The sequence below is a fragment of the Homo sapiens genome, chromosome 14, assembly GCF_000001405.40.
Source record: "Homo sapiens chromosome 14, GRCh38.p14 Primary Assembly".
Taxonomy (NCBI): Eukaryota; Metazoa; Chordata; class Mammalia; order Primates; family Hominidae; genus Homo; species Homo sapiens.
The window spans coordinates 60,598,163-60,603,056 of record NC_000014.9 but is presented as its reverse complement, the minus strand read 5'-3'; the positions used below and the strand labels follow the sequence as shown (position 1 = coordinate 60,603,056).

General features: G+C 37.3%; 1 pseudogene; it reads left to right on the top strand.

The window, feature by feature from the left end:
* Positions 506 to 951, top strand: RPS15AP4 (ribosomal protein S15a pseudogene 4; annotated as a pseudogene).

Here is a 4,894-nt window from a genome sequence, read left to right as displayed (position 1 = left end):
TTTTCCTAATGTTTTCTTAGTTTTGCAGAGCAGTATATGATAGACAATACAAATTATCAAAACACTACCTCCGATTTATCTAATTGTTTCTCCTGAAGCCTTTGGCATGATTTCACATGTACAATTTCATCAGAATTTATGTGACATTTCTGTCAAAGAGTTAGGGAATGACAGGTGCTACTATTCCCATTTTTTGTTAGGAACAAGAGTGACCCACAGAGTTAGTAAATATCAGAACCAGGGCTAGAATATAGGTGTTTTTATTTCTATCCGAACATGTGAAAAAGAAAGAAAGGCAGATCAAAGGACAAGGAAGGGTGTAGAAGAAAGACCAGCAAAGAAAAACTAAAATGAGTTTGTTTACTTATTCCTTCAAGAAACTAAAAAAAATCATCTTCAGTGTTCCCATTCCTGAGACTACATGATGAATGATGAATGGTTACATGCCAGGAGCCAAAGCTCTAGTGGGAGAGGCATTCCCATAAATATTCCAGTATACACATTTTCTTTCCATGCTGCCATAATTGTGCACATGAATGTCCTGGCTGATGCTCTCAAGAGCATCAACAATGTCAAAGAGAGACAAACCCCAGGTTCTTATTAGGCTGTGCTCCAGAGTCATTATCCAGTTTCTAACTGTGATGAAACATGATTACATTGGCAAATTTGAAATCATTGATGATCACAGAGCTGGGAAAATTGTTGTGAACCTCACAGTCTGGTTAAACAAGTGTGGAGTGATCAGCCCCAGATTTGATGTGCAACCTAAAGACCTAGAAAGATGGCAGAATAATATGCTCCTGTCTCGTCGGTTTGGTTTTATTGTGCTGACCACCTCAGCTGGCATCACAGACCTTGAAGAAGCAAGACAAAAACACACGGGAGGGAAAATTCTGGGATTCTTTTTCTAGGGATGTAATACATGCTTATAGGAAAAATGCCTCAATGGACCAAAAAAAAATTGCAGTATAATGGAAGAATTAAAGAAGTGCCATGGGAGAAATAGTGAGCAAAATGAATTATAACATTAAATTTTTTTTTTTTGAGACAGAGTTTTTGCTCTTGTTGCCCAGGTTGGAGTGCAATGGGCTCACTGCAACCTCCACTTCCCCAATTCAAGCGATTCTCCTGCCTCAGCCTCCTGAGTAGCTGGGATTGCAGGCATGCGCCACCACGCCTGGCTAATTTTGTATTTTTAGTAGAGACAGGGTTTCACCATGTTGGCCAGGCTGGTCTTGAACTCTGACCTTAGGTGATCCGCCCACCTCGGCCTCCCAAAGTGCTGGGATTACAGGCATGAGCCACCGCGCCCGGCCTACATAAAATATTTTTTACTGATGGTCTCACTTTCTCAATTCCAAATATCTAAGATCTTCTCATTTGTTTGTCTTGTAGTGGATACTATGTATTATCTGATGTTACTATTTTGTATTCAGGCACCACTGTCTCTTAATACTATTTTGCCCACATTTTGGTATAAGATTTCTTGATTTTTCTCTAAGGAATCTTTGAGATCCTCTCTTAGCCACATTTTGCCAGTGAAGACATTTTAAACTTCCAAGTTTTCAATTTCATGCTCTTATAATTATGGGTTGTAGAGGAGGATAGGACTACAGGAGATTGTCCAACCCTACCCCTTGGACTCTATCACTATGGCAAGCCTTGATGAAGCACTATGTTGTACTCATGGACTTCCAAAACTGTCAGCTTTCCACATTATAACCTAGCCAATCAAGGAATAACTAACAGGCCAAATACTCTTACACCTGCCTAGTTAAAAAATATATATTTCGGAAGACCTTGTTATAGGGTTAAAAAGTAGAATTGGTTGGATTTGAGTGAGGAAAAGGCATAGTAACTAATGTGACTTATTTAATAAAATATAATTAATCCCCTCCACCTAATGCATCATGCTACTTCATGTGTGTGTGTGTGTGTGTTCATGGGTGAATTGTCAAATAACAAATCACTGCTACTTCCTTACATTTGAGGTATGATGGCTCACCTATTCATGTGGTCCATTTGAAGAGGGAAGTTCACCTAATACACATCTATTCAAAAAGCATTTATTGAGTACTTAGAATATTTAAGGCACCTTTTGATACGTGGGGCATACATATAGAGGTACCCAGCTCCCAGAGTGGTGGCACCATTTAAATGAATTAATAAGATAATGTGTTTATGTGAAGGCCATTTTATAAATTATGAAGTGCAAGCAAAAATTCTACTATTGTTACAAAAATAAAATCCATAAACCTTTTCCTATTGCTTGTTTGGCATAGAAGTGAAATCGTTTCAAGTTTGCCCCTTTACAAGCCCCGGGCATGTGAGAATGCACTAAATCTGGCTTGGACTTGGTTCACTGTCTTAGATCTCAGAAACTGTGGGGACTATGATTGTGACAGTACCATTCATCTTGTCTTCTGTAAACTCACAGTTATAACTTTTCTCCAATTTGGGTATAAGAGGAAGACGAGACTAGTTTTGCCTTTTGAATCACGCAGCCATCAAGTGACTTGGATTTTCATCCTCACTGATTTCCTTTGCAAAATGCCCTTGAATGTCAGGTGTGGGCAGAGAAACCACGGTAGGACTCTCTCCTCTTGCAAAGCAAAGTGGAGTGTTACTGTCATAACAAATGCATCTTTTCTTTTCCTCTAGTTTTCATAAATGCCCAGGTGTATAAGCAAATGTCCTAGGACTCTCTGTAGCTTGCTCAAGGTTGTAATAATTTTTATAGTTTTTATTTTAAAGTCTCTTTTATTTTTCTCCTAAATCCTGTTATGTGGCCTGCCCAGGAAAGATGCTTATTTTCAAAATATAGGTACAGAAAAAGTAAGGCTCCATATGTGGAAATCAGTGACAACTCAACCTTTTTGGGCTTTGTTTGCAATGTAGGAATTGTACACCTTGGTTATGGTCTGTTAGTTGTTCTAAAATTTTTGCTACAAATTAGTAAAGACCTTAGTTGTGCTTGGCATTGGAAACAGCAGAGAGTAATGCACATTTTATCCTACAGAGTAGTTCCAGCTGGTGCTGAATGGGGCAACCTGACTTCTAAACAGTGTTTATTGCAAGGGTAATCTTACATCATTGCTCTATTGTCCAAGGTTAATTGTCAATTTGCTTTTAAATGTTATGCAAAAGTATTGGCTTAGCTGTAGAAAACTTCATCTTGGGAAATTTGACCCTCCTGGAGATGAATAATTAATGTCCTATGAAATCACATGCCTGAAAGAGAATTCTAAAGTTCACCATGACCATCCTTTTTTCTCCTAAGTGTATTCTATTTTTAAGAATTCCTGGAAACAACTCTATGTTAAAAAAGAAGCAAAGATTTAAAAGCAAACATGCTGAGAAAGTATTTACAGAAAACATTATAGACAAAAGATGGCTACTTATGTTATATAAAGAGCTTTACATAAAGTTATAAGAAAACCATTAAGAATACATTAGATAAATGGAGTAAGGATATGCACAAAATTTCACAAAAGAGAGAGATCAACTAATAAAACTGGAAAATGGGTCAGTCTCACAAGTGTCATAAGCATATCATAACTAACAGGTACTTTTTTGTTTTTTTGCTGATCAAGTTAGCACAGACTTGAGATTATAATACTGTTGAGAATATGGTGAAATAGGCACTTGTTCTATGTCACTTGTGGATGCATAAATTCTTAAGATTTTTTTGCAAGGTAAGTTGGAAAACTGTATCAAGATTCTTAAAAATACTCTTAGCCTATTTTCAGTAATTCCACCTCTAGAAATCTGTTATAAAGGCATATTGTTACTTAAAACATATAATGCATAAATATGTTCAAATATAATAGCAAAAAATTGGAACCACAATTAACATGTTCAACAGTGAGAAATGGGTAAATAAACTATGGTCTATTTGGTATATCATTGAGTAATATTGTAATGTTAAATTGCAAAAGCATTCACAGAAGGACAAATATCTATCTGAGGTACCTAGAGTAATGAAATGTACAGAGAAAGAAAATAGAATGATGGTTGCCAGGCACTGGGGGAGCCAGTAATGGTCAGTTATTATTTAATTGGTAGAGAGTTTTAGTTTGGGATGATGAAAAAGTTCTGGAGATGGTTAGTAGTGATGGTTGCACAACAAAGTGAATGTACCTAATGTCACTGAATTGCACACTTTAAAAAAGCTAGAATGTTATATATATTTTATCACAATAAAAAAAAGCAAGATCTTTGTAACAGCATGAGTACTGTTTGTTGTATATTGTATGATTTTATTTTTAAAAAGCAGCAGCATACGTGCTCTGTGAAAGACACTGTCAAGAGAATGAGAAGATAAGTCACAGACTGGGAAAAATATATGCAAAAAACTATTGGATACGACTGTTATCTAAAATGTACAAAGAGCTTTTACTACTCAAGAACAAGAAACAACCTGATTAGAAAATAGGCAAAAGGTGGCCGGGCACGGTAGTTCACACCTGTAATCCCAACACTTTGGGAGATCGAGGCGGGTGGATCACCTGAGGTCAGGAGTTGGAGACCAGCCTGGCCAACATGGTGAAACCCTGACTCTACTAAAGATACAAAAATTAGCCGGGTGTGGTGGTGGGTGCCTGTAATCCCAGCTACGCGGGAGGCTGAGGCAGGAGAATCGCTTGGACCCTGGAGGCAGAGTTGCAGAGAGTCGAGCTCACACCACTGCATTCCAGTCTGGGCCACAGAGTGAGACCCAGTCTCAAAACAAAACAAAACAAAAAAATGACAAAAGACCTGAATAGACACCTCACCAAAGAATATGTACATCATCTACCAGCATCTATCTATTATATATAAAATATAAAATATATTATATATAAGTGTGTGTATACATATATATATATACACCCCCACACTGATGGGAAAATGC